This window comes from Homo sapiens, chromosome 10, assembly GCF_000001405.40.
Source record: "Homo sapiens chromosome 10, GRCh38.p14 Primary Assembly".
In the NCBI taxonomy this organism is placed as follows: Eukaryota; Metazoa; Chordata; class Mammalia; order Primates; family Hominidae; genus Homo; species Homo sapiens.
The window spans coordinates 50,401,369-50,417,179 of record NC_000010.11 but is presented as its reverse complement, the minus strand read 5'-3'; the positions used below and the strand labels follow the sequence as shown (position 1 = coordinate 50,417,179).

Here is a 15,811-nt window from a genome sequence, read left to right as displayed (position 1 = left end):
GGGACAGGGAAAGTGGAATCCTGTGACGACTGAGGATATACACAATGCAACAGGGAAGTTATCATGATCAGAAACACTGACTGCGTACAGGAAAGACAGGTTAAAGACGTCCCAGTAACATAAAGGATGGTGGGAAGACTTGTAAACTGAATTATGAAGTTATGAATATGAATGAGCAAGTCACGAATAGCATCATTACACATGCATTTATGAAGATAGAGACTGTGATGAGGTTAAAAGATAGACTGTCATGGAGAGAGGAAGAAAATTCTTTGCAGCTGGCTTTTTTTAGCGAGAGAAAGAAAATTCTTCGCAGCTGGCTTTTTTTTTTTTTTTTTTTTTAGTTCTATAAAGGAAACTTCCCTAGAAAGAAACCACTTCTAAATGGAATAATTAAAATAATTTGTTAGAAACTTTAAGTTACCCTATGAGCTCCTAGTAACACTGTTTTCAAGCTCATAGGTTAATTGTTAAGCCCTTTTGCTCCGAGTTGAACTGATCAAATGGCTCTGTGTAAAAGGTAACAGTGTAGAATCCTCTTTGAGAAATAGCATGTAAACTTGGGAGAAATGGCCTAAGCCCACGGTTCTCAAGTCACTGAGACAGTTGAAAAAGCCCCCTCAGGTGGTGAGAATGGGATAATATTTTATTATATCTCTAAGATGCCTCAAATCCAAAGAGATAATTAAATTTGGAATTTTATTAGTTTCACCTAATAGTTGTATAAAAGCTGAATATTTAAGGATCTCCTTTATCAGGCACTGAGATGCTTTGTATACATTACTTCATTTAGTTTTCACAATAGTCCTAAGAGGTGGAGGTATTTTTGACCCTGTTTTATAGTTGAAGAACAGGCTCAGTAAGGTTATATTACCTGCTCCAAATTTCACAGCTAGTTAATTTAGTTTATGTTGGAAGTTAGCATTTAAGGTTGGTTATTTTTCCTATGTGGCTCCAATTGCTCCTAAAATGGTGTTGATTTTTCTGTTTAAAATGATCCAGAGGAGGTTCTTGGTTCAAAGCAGATTTTTAAGTGATTTAAAAGTGCCTCATTGTCCCAGCGCCAAATTATCAAAGTTCAAGGAATTATGCATTTACTCTAGAAGGCTACGGCTTTCAAATATTAACTGAGAAAGCCCTACTCTTAATGAGCTCGTTAATGCACATGGCCGCCTTAGTGTTGCTGAACTCCGGTAACTTTCTTCTGCTTTTTTTCTGAAGACCTTTTAATTCAGGGTGTGCATTTTCCTCTTGCGTGTCACAAGTGCTATTCAGGCTTTCTCTAGTTGAATCCCCTGTTTGTGAGTGCATACCTGCAGTATTTTATATGCTAAGTGAAATATTTTTAAATTTACGTTAGCACCTAGATTAGCGTTGAACCTGTTTTAAGAATGGTGAGTTCATGAAAGGCACACTCTGTGAGAGCTAAAACTAGTTATGTGGAGGTGAGAAAGTCTCAGCGTGTCTGATCAGAGCATCCATTTCTGAGAGAGTCCATCTGTGGGCATATCATCATACAAGAGAATAATGCCACCTTCATCGAAGACCATGAAATACCATGAAATATTCCAGGACTAGGCATTGCTGACAGCCCCACATCATCACCTGCACCATCTAGTTGACACAGAACACCTACCCACTTCCTTAAGCCACTCTAAATCCTAACTGCTTTAAGTGACCTGAATTCTTGAGCATGTTGAAAGAACATGCCAGTGTGATGATAAAACCACTTGGGAGTAATCTTGGAAAAGTCATGGAGAGGGGGAAGCATGCCACAGAGTCCATTTTCAAAAATGGGGAAATGGTAAATTCGAAAACTTTAGATTCATAACTTACGTTGGTGTCTAGCAGAATTGTAGATCACATTTTTTAAAAGATTGGTCAGAATCACTTACAAAAATAAAAGTGATGATCAGTATGTAGCGTATGTTTGCTAAGAATTATTCATGTCCAATTAACCTCATTTGTTTTTTAATAATGTTACTGGACAAGTATATCAGGGCATTGCCATAGATATGCAATGTCTGCTTCATCAGAACATTTCGTTTTGTTATGTTTTGAGACGGAGTCTCGCTCTGTCACCCAGGCTGGAGTGCAGTGGCGCGATCTCAGCTCACTGCAAGCTCCGCCTCCCGGGTTGACGCCATTCTCCTGCCTCAGCCTCCTGAATAGCTGGGACTACAGGCGCCGGCATCAGAGCATTTAATAACGTGCTACGTGTGTTCTTTACTCAAGATGGAAAAATATGGATTGGATAGCGGTATAGATGAATGAGTTTAGGTCTTTTACCCAAAGAGGGATGATCAGTGGCGTAATGTCAGACTTGAGCAAGGTGTCGATAGTGTCGCTTGAGAAAGGCATATGGTACAGCTGGTGGGAAAAACTTCACACAGTACAAGAGATAGGGTATTTGGAACCAAGGAGATGATAATTGCGTCGTTCTTTGAAGCACTGTAGATAGTGGTTACGAATAGAGACTCCAAAGCCAGACTCTGGGCAAGTTATTTGAGTTCTTTATGCCTCTATTTCTTCATTCATAAAATACAAATAATAGTAATAATACCTACCTTAGAGGGCTGTTGAAGATGTTGAAGGATTAAATTATATAATCCATGTAAAGTGCTTAAAGCAGAATCGGATAGTAAATTGTATATATTAGATCCTAGTCTTCTGTTGTTGCTGCTGTTAACTACTGTCACTACTACTACTTCAGGCAATATTATGCACATTTCTGGGTTTGTGTTTAAACACATATCCAGAATGTGGTAAATAGGTTAGTTGTTGTTTTTTCAGGCAGAGTCTTGCTCTGTTGCCCAGGCTGGAGTGCAGCATCATGATCTCGACTCACTGCAACCTCAAGCAGTCTTCCCACCTCAGCCTGCTGAGTAGCTGAGACTACAGGTGTGCCACCATGCCTGGCTAATTTTTTAATATTTTGCAGAGACAAGGTCTCACTGTGTTGCCTAGGTTGGTCTCGAACTCAAACTTGTGGACTCAAGCAATGCTTCTACCTCAGCCTCTCAAAGTGCTGGGATGACAGGTGTGAACCACTGTGCCTGGCTGTAATTAGGTTTTGGAGAGTGTCTAGTAACTGTTATTTGAACAGTGGTCCAAAAACAATAGGCGTCTTCACCTTAGTGTAAAAGCTGAGAGACTTTCAATCAGATGAGGTCCACAGAAAAAAAATTAAAAAATTAAAAACTTTTAAGCTGAGAAATGATACTTTATATTTATTTACTATTACCAATGTGGTAAAAGAGAGATGGTCACATTTTGAAGTCTGTACATTTTGTCCAGTTTAATAAGTGCTTTCTGTTAAGGAGCTATAGTTTGGTGTATGAGAAATCTTCACTAAACTAGGTTTTAGGAGACCTCTTTCTTATCTCCAGTCCAAATCAGATCAGTACAGTCTTCAACCAGTTGTTATGATCTTGGGTGATTAGCTTAACTCAATGGTTCTCTGCAGGGTGCAATTTTAAACCCCCAGGGAAAATTTGGTATATTTGGACACGTTTTTGATTGTCACAGCTGGGGTTGGGGAGGTGTGCTAGTGGCACTTAGTGGATACTGCCATGGATACTGCTAAACATCCTACAGTGCACAGGACAGAGGCCCCACAGCAAAGAGTTATCCTGTCCAAAATGTCAGTAGTGTTATGGTCGAGAAATCCTGGCTTACAAGTTCAATGTATGTATTTCTGTTTCTGACATTTGAATGCCAATCTTTGCTTTAACGAAATCACCAAGTAGCTTTAACAGTATGTTTATAAAAGGCCTTTGAGAGTTAATGTATGCTGAAATCTGCAAGTGTATACAGTGTACACATTTTATCATCAGCAGCACGGTGAAATATTTGCTTTGTTTCCTGGAGGAATATATTATCGTGGTTTGAGAGTCAGATACACCTTTGCTGGAATCTCAGCCCTGCCAGTTTAACTTGCTGTGTGATTTGGGGCAAGTTTCTTTATCTGTGAAAACCAAATCTCTATTTCATAGGGCTTAGAGGAATAAACAAGATATACATGTAAATTATGTAGCACAGTCCTTAGGCACAGTCACAAGAGATAACTTTTTTTTTCAAATTTACATTTTCCAGGTTAATAGAATTGACTGATGCTTTTTAAAATGTAAGATTTGGAAGGAGGATATATAAGGAAGTTAGATTTTTTAATAGTTAAAATATTAAAAATAAAAGGGCTCCTGTTTTCCAAAGGTGATAAATCTTAGGAGAAGTAAATGTCTTTACAGATATCACTTTGGCCTTGTAGGGAATGAAGAATATGCACTAAAGTGAGAAGCACTTATTAGAGGGAGGCATAAGTTGCATGGAAAACAAGAGTCATCTATTTCTTATCAGTCTGGAATTAGCCAATAATATAACTTCTGCATTTGTGAATTGTTCCACTATAAAAACATGTAATGTTTGTTCTTAAGCAGTGTAATTCTATTTTTTAATCTTACTCTTGATATTATGTCTCTTAAATATGTTTTTCCATGCCTTAAGGTGTAAGCAGCACACCTAGCAAATGTATGTGCAAATGTGTCAATTTTGTCATCTTAGTGATTTCTTATACCCTCTCAGCCTTGCCTGAAAAGATAAAGCTTTCATGTGATCACCCTTTCTGTCACTTCCACTTGTGTATCAAGCAAGCTATAGCAGTGTGTAGCTTATCCGTAAGAGCCATTGGCATTGTATGTATTTGACTTAATGGTGTGAATTTTTGTAGGTGATAGGGGTTGGATGGGAAGATTTCAGAGTATTCACAATCCGTCTGTTGTCTACCTTATAAAGGCAGACTGTTTTGCATTTCTGTTAATTTTCCAGGGAGATGGCAATAAGAGGTCCAGCAATGAAAAGTTCCATGGCTTAGGAAGAGGCGCTTTTTCAGTTTGGAGAATTGAAGTTAGGAATTTTTTTGAAAAGTGGTCTTGATTTTCTTTCTCAGTGTCCCTATTGCATTGAATTGTGTAAACCTCACATAAACATGTGACTTGAATCCTCTAGTGGAGTGAGTGTTAGTACCCTCTGCCCCCAGCAGCTTGCCTCTCTATGGGTATCTGGAAGGAAATCTGTCCCCTCACATCATTGGGACAATTCACAGCCAGCTCATCCCTCTCAGGTGGTGGCTGCCCAAGGGGAGCACAGCAGTTCCAGCATAAGGGGCATGTGAAATGTGACTGGCGCACAGATGAAAACATACTTCTCAGAAATTACTAACATAGACTAAGCCCTGCTAGTGCTTAGAGGCCTTCATTAAGCTAACTTTCAAGTTTAATTAACTTTCCTTATCATACAGAAGTAGACGGTGGTGTTCCAGACTCTGATGGCCTCAAGCCGCCCCTGAGTTGCTGGGTAAGCAGTATTGGCAAAGAAACCTGGTGATCCTAACAGAGAATCCTGAACTGGTGATACAAAATTGCATAGTTCTATGGGGTCAGAAGCGGAGAGTTTGATACTCAAACCAAACTGAAAGTCAAGCTGATAATAAATAAACTAAAAGAAAGACTAGGCAGTTTAAAATTTCAGGTGGAACCAGTGACCACAATTCTTGAGACCCCATAAAACAATTTATCCACTTTAGGTGCATTCTGTCACTTTGATTTCTCAGATATGGATGAGACTAGAAATTACCACGCACTGCAGGAAGTGTTGCTGAAAATGTTTGAAAGCTGATTGTGTATTTACAAGGCTCCTGGGCATCAACTTGTAATTTTGCAGTAATTGGTACCAAAATCCCAAGTTCTAGACTTGTGCTGAGTTAACAGATGTAAAAATAGAATTGTTTTTTTCCCCCCTTTTGAAGCAAGGGTCTCACCAAAAGGCTCAAACACGTCCTAGACATAAAGGAACAAACAGATTTAAGTCAAGGTGGAGTGGAACAATATGCCTCATTATCCACACCATAGGTCTATTAGCTTGTATTTTTTAAAGAGTTTAAGCTTGGCATTCAATGAATTCTTTAAATACAGAGTGTGGTTATAGGTTTATTCATTTGTTTTTTCAAGAGGTCCCTCCTTCTTCCTTGAAATTCCAAAGCTTTCATTTCACTGGAATTATTGGCTTCTACCACGAGTATGGTGTATATGCCATACATGAGGGCCCTCAGGTAATAGTATGTGTACTATATATACCTTTCCCTCTTCTCAATTTGGAAAGAAAGACCTGACTCCAAAAGAAATTATTAAACTAACCTATAATGAATGTATCACAGCAAACATACAACAAGAGACCATAACTTGGTTATAGAACTATAACTTGATTAAAGGAACTAACATGTTATTCTGAGAGGGAAATTGTCTGAAGAGGAATTTAGAGAAGTAGAACTTGAAGACTGGGATGGGAGACTGAATTTGAGAGGCCAACTTGGCCTAGCTACAGAGAAGGTGCCTTACCCCTAGGGCGGCATTACCAGGTCTCCATATGGGTCTTCCCCTATGGTGGGGCTGTCTGAGGGCTTTTGAAATCTGCCTAAGTTCCAAATCTGAATTAGAGATTGGTCTTGCCCTCATCGGTGAATACCGCTGAGTCCTCCTTAACCTCACAGTGCACAGTGTCAGGCCACACAGGAAGACACAGAACATATTTTTGTTCCATGCCCACTATGCATCCTTCTCATGGTAATTTGGCCACTTCATGTAACTATGCTTTTCAGAGATCTGCCATCAGACATGCCAGCAAACAACCCACCTGATGGTTTACATTCTCACAATAAGGTATTCAGCTCGAGTTTTTACTTTAATGTCACCACAAGTGTGGTCAGTATGAATGCTTTTCTGATCATTGTATTTATAAATTTGCAAGACTAAAGGACAGCCTTGGACTATGTGAGTCTCCCCAGATAACACTGCACTCTAAGGACCAGCTGGCTTCCCCAGGTTTGCTTGTCTTCACCTTGAATGCCCTTTCCTATCTGACTTGCAACACAAGAGTGTCATGACCATCATAATATTATTATCTTTTTTATTGCAATTTAGAAAACGTTGAGAAGAAAAATGAATGTCATTGAGTGCTTATTCATGTGGGAAATGTGGTGTTCTGTTCTGTGAGTGACTCATGTAAACGAGTAAAAGAAACTAGAGTACATTGTTAAAATTACAAGGTAAACTAATTCCTACTTTGCTAGTTAGTGTGTCCTATAATTCTCATTTAAATTGCACAGATTACTAAACAACTACAGAAATTTTCACCCAAAGCAGTTCATAGACAAAATTTCACAGAATTTTTCAGTGTGATTTTATATTGTTAAAATTCTTGTAGACTTATGAAATATACTTTCATTTGGTTCTCAGGATAATAGGCTGTATATAGTTTCTTAGGCATTTTGGGTTCCAGAGCCTGTGGTACTTTCCTATATAATTGTCCTTTTTATATTCTTATATTCCCGTTGATATATTGAAAGAGTTTCCTGAAGTTATCTGTTCCTATATAATTGTCCTCTTTATAGTCTTATATTCCCGTTGATATATCGAAAGAGTTTCCTGAAGTTATCTATTGCTAATATTTAGCATTTACTTTTAGGAGCAAAATTCTCAGGAGAATTGAGAAATCTGTTGTCATTTATTTTGATTATGTCCAAGTAAAGGTCAGAGATATGAAATTAAATGTTTGTAACTGACAAACTAGTCATCACAGTCTACTTCAAAGGGAATGTCTGTCACAGTTTCAGTAGTGCCAGGGTACATAGAGATATGTTGTATGAAAACCATATGGTCTTGGGAAGACTGTAGAGGAATCCTTTTGGGAAAAGAGTATGGAATGGACAGGAACAGTTCAGGGAATAAATGGGATTATATCCAGCGAGGTTGAAGAATAGGAAAAACAGAAACATCCAGTTAGAATAAGTTTTTGTGTTTGATAGCAGAGTAGGGTGACTATAGTTAACAACAATGTATTGTATATTTTGATGTAGCTAGGTGAGAGGACTTGAAATGTTCCCAGCACATGGAAATAATAAATACTGGAGGTCATGGATATCTCAAATACTTTGAGTTGATCATCACAGTCTATGCATGCAAAAACTATCACATGTACCCCATAAATATGTGCAAATATTGTGTATCAATAAAATAAAAAGAAAAGGAAAAATAAAGCAATAATTCTAACATTACCTCTTTCCAAAGTGAGTGCCTCTCACTACTGGGTCTGGACTCTAATCTATATGAATAAAATGAATGGATTTTATTCCCTAAGAATTTGTTAACTAAGTTATCTGAGTAAGTTATATGTCCATGTTTGTAGCCAGTAGCAGGAGGGAGGTCAGGCAGGCTAGGGGTTGTTATAATCTTTTTTTGTTTTGTTTTGTTTTGAGATAGAGTCTCGCTCTGTCAGCCATGCTGGAGTGCGATGGTACAATCATGGCTTACTGCAGCATGAACTCCCAAGCTCAAATGATTCTCCTGCCTCAACTGCCCCCCCGACCCAATAGCTGGGATACTTGAGACGCACCCCAGTAGCTGGGACTACAGGCATGCACCACCATGCCCTGCTATTTTTTTTTTAAATGGAGTCTCACTCTGTCACCCAGGCTGAAGTACAGTGGTGTGATCTCAGCTCACTGCAACCTCTGCCTCCCAGGTTCAAGCGATTCTCCTGCCTCAGCCTCCTGAGTAGCTGGGACTACAGGTGCGTGCCACCACACCCAGCTAATTTTTTGTATTTTTAGTAGAGATGGGGTTTCACCGTGTTAGCCAGGAGCCTCGCTAATTAAAAAAAGTTTTTATTTTGTTTTTTTTTTTTTTTTTTTTTTTTAAGAGATGAGGTCTCAGTATATTGCCCAGGCTGGTCTCTGGGCTCAATCATTCCTTCTACCTTTGCCTCCCAGAGTATTGGGATTACAGGCGTGAGCCACTGCACCTGCCAGTTATAATGTTTTTAAACTGTGACTAGAATGAATAAAAGGGCTAGTATTTCTATGTTGCTTTTCTCTATACCTACTTGTTCCCTGCCAAAGCATACAAGAACACCACCAGCAGCAGAAGGCCTTCCTCAGATTACAGAGGACCATATGCCAGACCTTTGATGTCCAATACAATAGGCACTAGCCACATGCGAATATTTAAATTAATAATCTTAGTTGGACCTAACACATTTCAAGTGCTCAATAGCTACATATGTGGTTAGTGGCTATCATATTATGTAGAACAGATACAGAACCATTCCATCATCTCAGAAAGCTCTACTGGACAGCACTGTGCTATATACACTGTCTAAAGGAAGCTTTTTTTAAATGAATTTTTTGATATTTAGATACAAATTTAGGGAAAATGATTCAGCCAAAAGTTCAGCCTTAAAAAAAATAGATATTAAGGCGCTGGATCCATTTTCAAGCAAGTCCTCTATAAATCAAAATATTTCAGGGGTTTAACTGGCTCTTTTAGGCCAAACAAAGGTATATTATTTTAGTTTTCCTCAGGTTTAAACTTTGAATCCTAGAAGTACATGATGGCTTTCAAGAGTAGACACAGTGAATCTTTAGCATGTGTATAGGCACCCATTCTATTGTAACTGGTTAGTCAGAGCTTAGCAGGGGGAAAAAAAAGCCACTCTTATTTACGGCGGGGGGAATGCGGTAAAGTTACTTCCACAGGTGATGCAATGGCAGGAAGTCATTACCAACCCCAGGTTGAAGGGACAATTGGAGGAGGCCGTTTGGAGGTCAGGGTGGATAGGAGCTGAGACCAGAAAGGATATCAAAGATATCAACAGAAAATAAGGTGAGAAGTGCTCCTGGTGGCTTCTCCCTTTCTCGGGTTAGGCAGACAGAATTCTTATACAGAAATTGTAGAAATACAGAATTTCTATACAGAAAATGTAGTACTTCATCATTTTCCTTAGAATGCTCACATTTTTGTGGTTTTATTACCTGTGCTATTCATAGTGACATCACTAGGGGACTTTTGAGGATTAACCACTTCTTCACCTAGATTTTTATCGGCACATTCTATGATATATCACTTAGCAAATCCAGAGAGGTTAAACAGTTTAAGCCATGATAGGGACAGAACTGGAAAAATGCTAATTCTTGCTCTTTTACTTGTGCACGTTGCCACTGGGCCTACTGCAGAAATGCTACTAGTAAAGGGAGTATATCATCAGTTCAGTCTGGGAGCAGAAACTGCATAGTAGTTTAAACAAGGAAAGTTTAATATTAAGACTTATTAGGGCCAGGTGAGGTAGTTCATACCTGTAATCCCAGCACTGCTTTGGGAGGCCAAGGCAGGAAGATTACTTGAGGCCAGGAGCGCAGGACCTGCCTGGGCAACATAGCAAGACACTGTCTCTATAAAAACAAACAAACAAACAAAAAAATTACCTAGGTGTGGTGATGCATGCCTGTAGCCCTAGCTGCCTGGGAGGCTGAGGTGGGAGTGTCTCTTAAGCCCAAGGGGACAAGGCTGCAGTGAGCTAGGATCACACCACTGCACTCCAGCCTGGGTGATAGAGGAAGACCCTATCTCTGAAGAAAAAAAAAAAAAGAATTATAGCTATAACAAAGGATTGGAGCAATGATAAGATTGGCTAATAAAAAGTAAACAGAACTCTATAGAAATAGCAGATATAGGTAGCATCTACTACTCCAATGGCTGAGATAGAGGATCCAAGGAAGAGACCAACTTCCTACCCCCTCTCAGAGCTGAGATCCAGACCTTGTTGGAGAGGACACGTCCTTGATTCACTGCATGGCAGAGCAGTTGCTGTAGTGCCACACCAGCAAAACTTACTAAAAATCTGCCTTCCAGAACTTGCTGAAAATCCATCCTTCATGGTCCCAGGGAAAGCTATTCATGGGCGGATATCTACTGGAGGCACTCTGCTAAAAACTGTTTGAGACAGGCTTTGGAGAAGCTGCACATCCGACAGGAGTCTGATGTGACTCCTGATCAGACCAGGAAGCAAAACTCCTTCCTACAATGTCTCTCTAGCATTTTCTACAGACAAAAATTAACAAACATCATGTCAGCTAGCAAATGGAAAATACTTACAGGGCTCAGATCCCCTTTTGCAAATCAGGCTGTAAATGGTGAATTTGTAGCTGAGAGGCAGTAAATTGATAACTGACACAGGGAGAAAAACAAGACCACCCTTCTTCTCAGAGCCTTTATTATTATTTTTTTCAACAAGGTAATTGCACATGTATGTGTATGTGTGTGTGTATATATATATTTAGGTGGGGTTTTCCTTCCAGTAGTACTTCATCATTTTCCTTAGAATGCTCACATTTTTGTGGTTTTATTACCTGTGCTATTCATAGTGACATCACTAGGGGACTTTTGAGGATTAAGTATTTTAGTTTTACTGTTCATCTCTTAAACCTTGGATAAATACATGAATATTAATGAGTTGGAGCCACATTTTTGAAATGACATTCAGCTAAATGACATTCCAGGCTTTTGTTTAATGCCTATGAAGATATGTAGCATAACCTAGAATTATAGTTGCATGTGAAATAATTCAATTTGGGATTTTATCTCAAGAATTATAAATATTTGCCAAAAGATTTCATAATACATTCTAGTATATTTTATTTGTACATGGTAGGATTTTTCTTTCATTTGTGAGGGTGTTTCTTTACTGCTTTTCATGAATTGGGATAGTTCTTCCAGAAGAGCTTTTCAAAGATTTTTCTTCTCAGTTGTTTTCCACATTCTACAACTGTAAACTGCTAATTTTTTGTGGCTTCTTGCTCTATACACCATGCAATGCATAATTTATCAGTTTGTTTAAAACATTAGAAAGGGAGAAATACTCAGCCTTGTCCTTGAACCTGAGTTGATACTCGATCTATCTCCATCTGCATTGCCCCCTTTTTCTCTACTTTGTCTCTTATTTTGCTGTATTTTTTCTTCCTCAGAACTCTCCTGAAAAGCCTTTGATTTGGTAAATATATTTTGGGATTTTCAGATGTTGAGGTTTATTATAAATGCTTTAAATTTTCTGGTTTTATTTTTTTTAATTAGGTTTTGTTGAGGAACAGAGTGTAAAAGAAAGGATATGGTTAAAATATGAAAATAAGTAAAAATGGTGCATGTACATCGTTAGTATACAAATGATATCAAATAGTTTAGAAAGAGATGTCAAAGGCTCCTCTCACTGTAACTGTTATTACATTTCTTGTGATTTGTTCCAGGAAAAAAAAATACATATTTTGGCACATATCTGCGTCTATCTTGCTTTTGGCTTTTTACATTTTTAATAAAGGGATTAATATACATACCGTTCCTTAGCTTTTTCTTTGTACTTTACCTATTTTTGAGATATATTCCTGTCAACACATACAGATCTTCTTTATTCACTTTAATGATGGTACAATATTTTATTTTATGGGTGTATAATAATTGATTTTATTTTTGCCTTTTTTCTGGATGTTTTAATAGTTGCCATTGGGGGGATTGTGTTTAGCTATTGGATTTATTGCAGTCTGCCTTTCTGTAAATATTTTCGTATAAATATCTTGCTGACATACCTGTAGGGTAAATTCCTGTGAGTGGGATTGCTACATCAGTGGGAAAATACATTTCAAATTTTGATAAACATCACCAAATTCTTCTCTGGAAAGGTCACTGATTGTTTGTTTTTTCGAGACAGGGTCTCGCTCTTCACCCAGACTGCAATGCAGTGGCACAATCATAGCTTATTGCAACCTCAAACTCGTGGGCTCAAGCAATGCTCGCTCCTCCCAAGTAGCTAGGACCACAGGCATGCACCACGATGCCCACCTAGTTTTTTGTATTTTCTATAGAGATGGGGGTCTCACTGTGTTTCTCAAGCTGGTCACATACTCTTGGCCTCAGGCAGTTCTCCCACATCAGACTCTCAAAGCACTGGGCTTACAGCTGTGAGCCTGGCCTTTTTAAAAAAAAAAAAAAAATCAAAACAAAACAAAACAAGATTATGTCTTTCCCACGCTTCCATCAACATTTTTCATTCACCAAGTTTTAACATTTTTGCCAATCTGGTAAGTTAAAAATTTACTTTCCCTCTGGGTGAGGATCTTTTCATAGGTCCATTGTGAGTTTCTTTCTGTAAACTGCTCACTCATGTGCTTTCTTCTTCCTCTTTCTCCCTCTTTTTCCTTCCTTTTGCCCTTGTGTCTTCTTGTCTTTATCATATTGACTTGTATGAGCTCATTTTAAATTAGGAAAATTCATCCTATTTCATATGTATTATACCTGTTTCCCCCATGTTACCGTCTATCTTTTGATTTCCATTAAAAAGATTTTTATTTTGGTGTAAGGAATATTAAACATGTTCTTTTACAAAGGAAATAAAAGAAGGGTAGGGGTTGAGGAAATCTGGCCATACTTTCTGCTGTTTTTGTGGCCTGAGTAGTTGTAGTTTGGGGCTAAAGGTTATCCCACCTGACACTACCATGTCCCATACCTGTGGAGACCCTGTACTATCTTACAGCAAAATTATTCTTAAGACATACTAGATGTTGGTGTCCTTCCCCTCTGTATTTGCCTAAACCTTCATCAGTGTATTGAGCCTCTTAAGAGCAGGTGAGCTTATGAACAACCTTGTCTGGAAACGTCAGAATTTAGCCACATGATGAGATCATTCCTGGTAGCCAGGAGTTGTAGATAATGCTCACTTCTGTATCCTGAGCACCTAGGGTAGCATCTGGCTTTTGAAACACCATGTGTTGAATGAATGAATGAAGACAAAGAAGAGCAAGAGCAGAGGATGAGCAGAAATAGAGAACTCGAATGAAGATTCACTTTGGAACACATTAGTCAATTAGATATATGCATGCCTGACAAATGTACCCCTAGAGTCTAGAATACTTTCATTTCTTATCTTCGTAACCTCTACTCAGGCTCTTGACAGCTGGGATGGGTTTAAGCTAATAGTATATTATTTACCTCATAAACTTTATGGAACATTGAACATGCGAACCGTGTACTTGTGCCAACTGTTAGTTAGTTGAAACTCTTCTTTCTTTGAATTTACGTAATTTTCTGTCTAGACTGGCCAGTGAGTAATAATCATGTCTGTTCTTTTGTGAGTAGTGTTATTAAAACTATGTTTTTCGGATTTTAAGATAATAGATCAAAAATGAATTTCTGTCTAAATTTATTCAAAGAACAAACTTCTTCGAACATTTAAAATGGTTCTGGTTACAACATAATGTCTTTGGCAGCAACTTGGGTGGAACTGGGGGCCATTATTCTAAGTGGAGTAACTCAGGAACGGAAAGCCAAATACTGCATGTTCTCACATATAAGTGGGAGCTAAATTATAGGTACACAGGGACGTACAGAGTGGTATAATGGACATTGGAGACTCAGAAGGGAGGAAGGTAATGGATAAAAAACTACCTATGGGGTACAGGGTACACTGCTCTGGTGACAGGTACGCTAATATCCCAGACTTCACTATACAAATCATCCATCTAACCAAAAACCACTTCTACCTCTAAAGCTATTGAAATTAAAAAAAAAAAATGGTTCTGGTTAACAAAAATTGAGTATACAAATGGCTTGTTACATACTATGTAAACTATGACTCAACCTAAATCCTAGAAAAATAGTTGACTAGTTCTTTGTTTAATTAAACATCTCCAGAGAAGGTTTTTAAAGATTTCCTCACAATTCAAATAATCTATATACTTATTCATACATATGGAAAGTCTTTTAATGATATCCTATGAAGGGCAATACTGTGCAGTATTTTCTTGGCTTGGCATGTAATGTTATACCCTGAAAATGTCAATAAATCTTAATTTCCAGTAGGATCGTGGCCCCTTTTTCTTGCCATTTGACCTGAGATGTCTAATGGTTTTGTTTATTCTTCATAGTTTTATGGAGGCAATTGACTCCATTAATTTGAATTTACTGAAATAAAAGCCAACAATAGGAAGATAGATTAATTTTTGAAAAAGCTAATGCTAAGCTTTGACTTCTGTTACTGTTCAGTGGCATTCAATGCAAAAATAATTGAACCTCAGAACATTAGAGAAATAGTCATTGTTGTTTTGAGTGATCATGATGCTTATTACGCATCCATTTCAATGCGGACTGATGCAGTAATTGATGGATGATGCCATTAATTAGGCTTTTGACCAGACAAATTTATTGTAGTTTGGTAATTTTTTAGGCAGAATATTGAAATGAAAGGTAAATGGAGATTTTTTTAACAAAATGAAGATGTTTAAAATGTCAACAGAAAGCTCACAAATAATTTCTTGGGTACAACAGTTTTGTACCACTTTGGTCCATCTTTTGCATCTTTAGCTTAATCTTAAAAAATCAAGGTGACTAAGTAAGGTGACAGAAATTCATTTGTGAATTTGTCTTTGACATTTTGTGCAGGAGCATAAATGAATACGACAAGGGAATCTACTTTGAAAAATGAGTGTTTGAAAGTAGGTGTTTCTTGGATTTTTTTAGCCTCAGTGAGGACAGATCTGTGGGTGAGACCTTGGTGCTTTGTTGAAAACCAGTTGGCATTGAAGAAGGCAAATGAAAAATAGAAGCCTAATGTTGATTGTGACAAATGTAAAACATGTATCCCTTAAGAAAATTTCAGGAGCTTTTGGTGGGGGGTATTTCTGGTTGGTTGGTGTAAAGTTTTGGTGGCATATAGACCTTTTGAAGGAGTACTTTATAGTTGGAATAGAGTGTGAACCACCTGAGAATCAAACTAGAGGGATTTCTCCTGTGGGTGGAAAAGCAGAGGCTTTGAAAATGAATGCTTCTGTGTTTGGTTCCCAGTGTTGCCACTCACTGAGGGATCCCAGTAAGGAACAAACTCTCTCCGAGCCTCAGTATTCTTAATTTGCACAAGTGGAGATTAAAATGTCTCCATCAAA

The 15,811-nt window shown here is 38.1% G+C and overlaps 1 protein-coding gene across 14 annotated transcripts in view, besides 2 other annotated features; it reads left to right on the top strand.

The window, feature by feature from the left end:
• The window catches only part of SGMS1 (sphingomyelin synthase 1), a 319,585-nt gene that overhangs the window by 208,005 nt on the left and 95,769 nt on the right, over positions 1–15,811 (top strand). Inside the window, exon 1 of one of the 14 annotated variants that reach the window (XM_047424978.1) lies at positions 344–15,811. This exon is cut by the window's right edge and continues 23,412 nt beyond it. The exons of the other annotated variants lie outside the window; for them this stretch is intronic. The gene's annotated coding sequence lies outside the window, so the exon portion shown is untranslated. Of the gene's footprint in view, positions 1–343 lie in introns of those variants that run through there. 14 annotated transcript variants of the gene reach the window in all.
• Positions 6,700–7,200: an enhancer, noted in NCBI's record as "NANOG-H3K4me1 hESC enhancer chr10:52169740-52170240 (GRCh37/hg19 assembly coordinates)". NCBI's record gives its function as "activates a minimal SCP1, AML or CMV promoter by ChIP-STARR-seq in primed H9 embryonic stem cells {active_cell/tissue: H9 hESC(primed)}" and the evidence as "EXISTENCE:reporter gene assay evidence [ECO:0000049][PMID:30033119]".
• Positions 9,228–10,021: an enhancer, noted in NCBI's record as "OCT4-NANOG-H3K27ac hESC enhancer chr10:52166919-52167712 (GRCh37/hg19 assembly coordinates)". NCBI's record gives its function as "activates a minimal SCP1, AML or CMV promoter by ChIP-STARR-seq in primed H9 embryonic stem cells {active_cell/tissue: H9 hESC(primed)}" and the evidence as "EXISTENCE:reporter gene assay evidence [ECO:0000049][PMID:30033119]".